The 1569-nt window shown below is 44.3% G+C and overlaps 1 annotated feature.

The window, feature by feature from the left end:
* Nucleotides 519–685: a silencer, noted in NCBI's record as "fragment chr1:166322051-166322217 (GRCh37/hg19 assembly coordinates)". NCBI's record gives its function as "represses an EF-1alpha promoter that drives an FKBP-Casp9 reporter gene in an ReSE screen in K562 erythroleukemia cells {active_cell/tissue: K562}" and the evidence as "EXISTENCE:reporter gene assay evidence [ECO:0000049][PMID:32094911]".

Consider the following 1569-nt stretch of genomic DNA (forward strand, 5'->3'; position numbering starts at 1 on the left):
CCAAATTTTATTTAAATGAACTCTTGGGGGTTTATGATATCAACAAAAGTGTGCTAACAATTACTTTTGGAGATGCCTCTAAAACTGCTTTCATATATCTCTTCTTTCCTAGTCTCACTGTCATCTCACTAAGCAAGGCTCATATCATCCAAAATACATGTCACACACACACACACACACACACACACACACACACACACCACTCTATTTTTTAAATTTGATCTTGGAACCCCTAACAAACATGAACTAGTGCTTCATATGTGTCAGACACAGTGGTAGATGTAGAGATGAATAAATCATGTCCTTTGTCCTTGAGGAGTTTACAATGCAGAGAGGAAGGCACGCGTATACATCCCACAATTACAGGGCAAGGCCATGGACAAAAACATGGTTGCCTCAAGATTGTGCTTGGAATACAAGTGTCATGCTATTTGTCCATCTCATCCTGGGAATGGGAGGCTTGAAGTCAGCCTTCAATTTCAGTGGTGGAGGAGCTGCATCTCCGCGAAAAGAAAACAAAGGGGCCGGGCACGGTGGCTCATGCCTGTAATCCCAGCACTTTGAGAGGCTGAGGCGGGCAGATCACAAGGTCAGGAGATCGAGACCATCCTGGCTAACACGGTGAAACCCCATCTCTACTAAAAATAAAAAAAAATTAAAAAAATTAGCCGGGGGTGGTGGCACATGCCTGCGGTCCCAGCTACTCGAGAGGCTGAGGCAGGAGAATGGCGTGAACCTGAGAGGCGGTGCTTGCAGTGAGCCGAGATCGCACCACTGCACTCCAGCCTGGGCGACAGAGCGAGACTCCATCTAAAACAAACAAACAAACAAACAAACAAACAAACAAACAAAAAACTAAGAGAAGGACATTGACACTTGGTTATTTTGCACTGGACCAGCACTTTCTCCGTGACTCAGATCTGAGAGCATCAGCATCTGGGGCCAGTTAGCTAAGTGCATGGCTGGGAGAGAGAGTTGCCCGCATGTCCACTGAACACCTGGGCCTGGAGTAGATTGTCAAAACATGTGCTCTTTGGTCTCAAGAGTAAATTCCTGGTATAGTGACACCACTGATTCATGACAATCTGTGATACATAGAAGGTTGGCAATTTCTACTGACCCTGTCAGAATTGTCATTTCTTGAAACACAGTCTGTCATTTCAGAATATCTAACACTTTAAAACAGCTTATTGTGGCGGTGCCATGGCAACAAAAAAAGGCTTTTCCGCATTTGTACCAAACAAGAGCTAAAGGTGTTTGAAGAGCAAATAGAAACAGTCTGTAGTTCAGTATGGGGAGATGTTTAAAGAAATTGGCAGGAGTAATTTGTGCACCAGTAAATTGACAGAATTGATTTCCCTCCTCTGTCTCTTGTGCTTGCAAGCCCCAATGTGTGGCATGAGCCTGGGTCTCTGGTAGGTGGCTTTTCTGAGCCATCTTTTCTCAATTTTTTGTCAGATGAACACTCTTTCCTGGTGATGTGGGGGAATATTTTTGCTAACGTCTTTACTATGGGTAACATTTTGGAGAGCAAACTGCTGCTTAGTCTCTGGGACACTTTGTCTAAGT

Source organism: Homo sapiens, chromosome 1, assembly GCF_000001405.40.
Source record: "Homo sapiens chromosome 1, GRCh38.p14 Primary Assembly".
NCBI classification, from domain to species: Eukaryota; Metazoa; Chordata; class Mammalia; order Primates; family Hominidae; genus Homo; species Homo sapiens.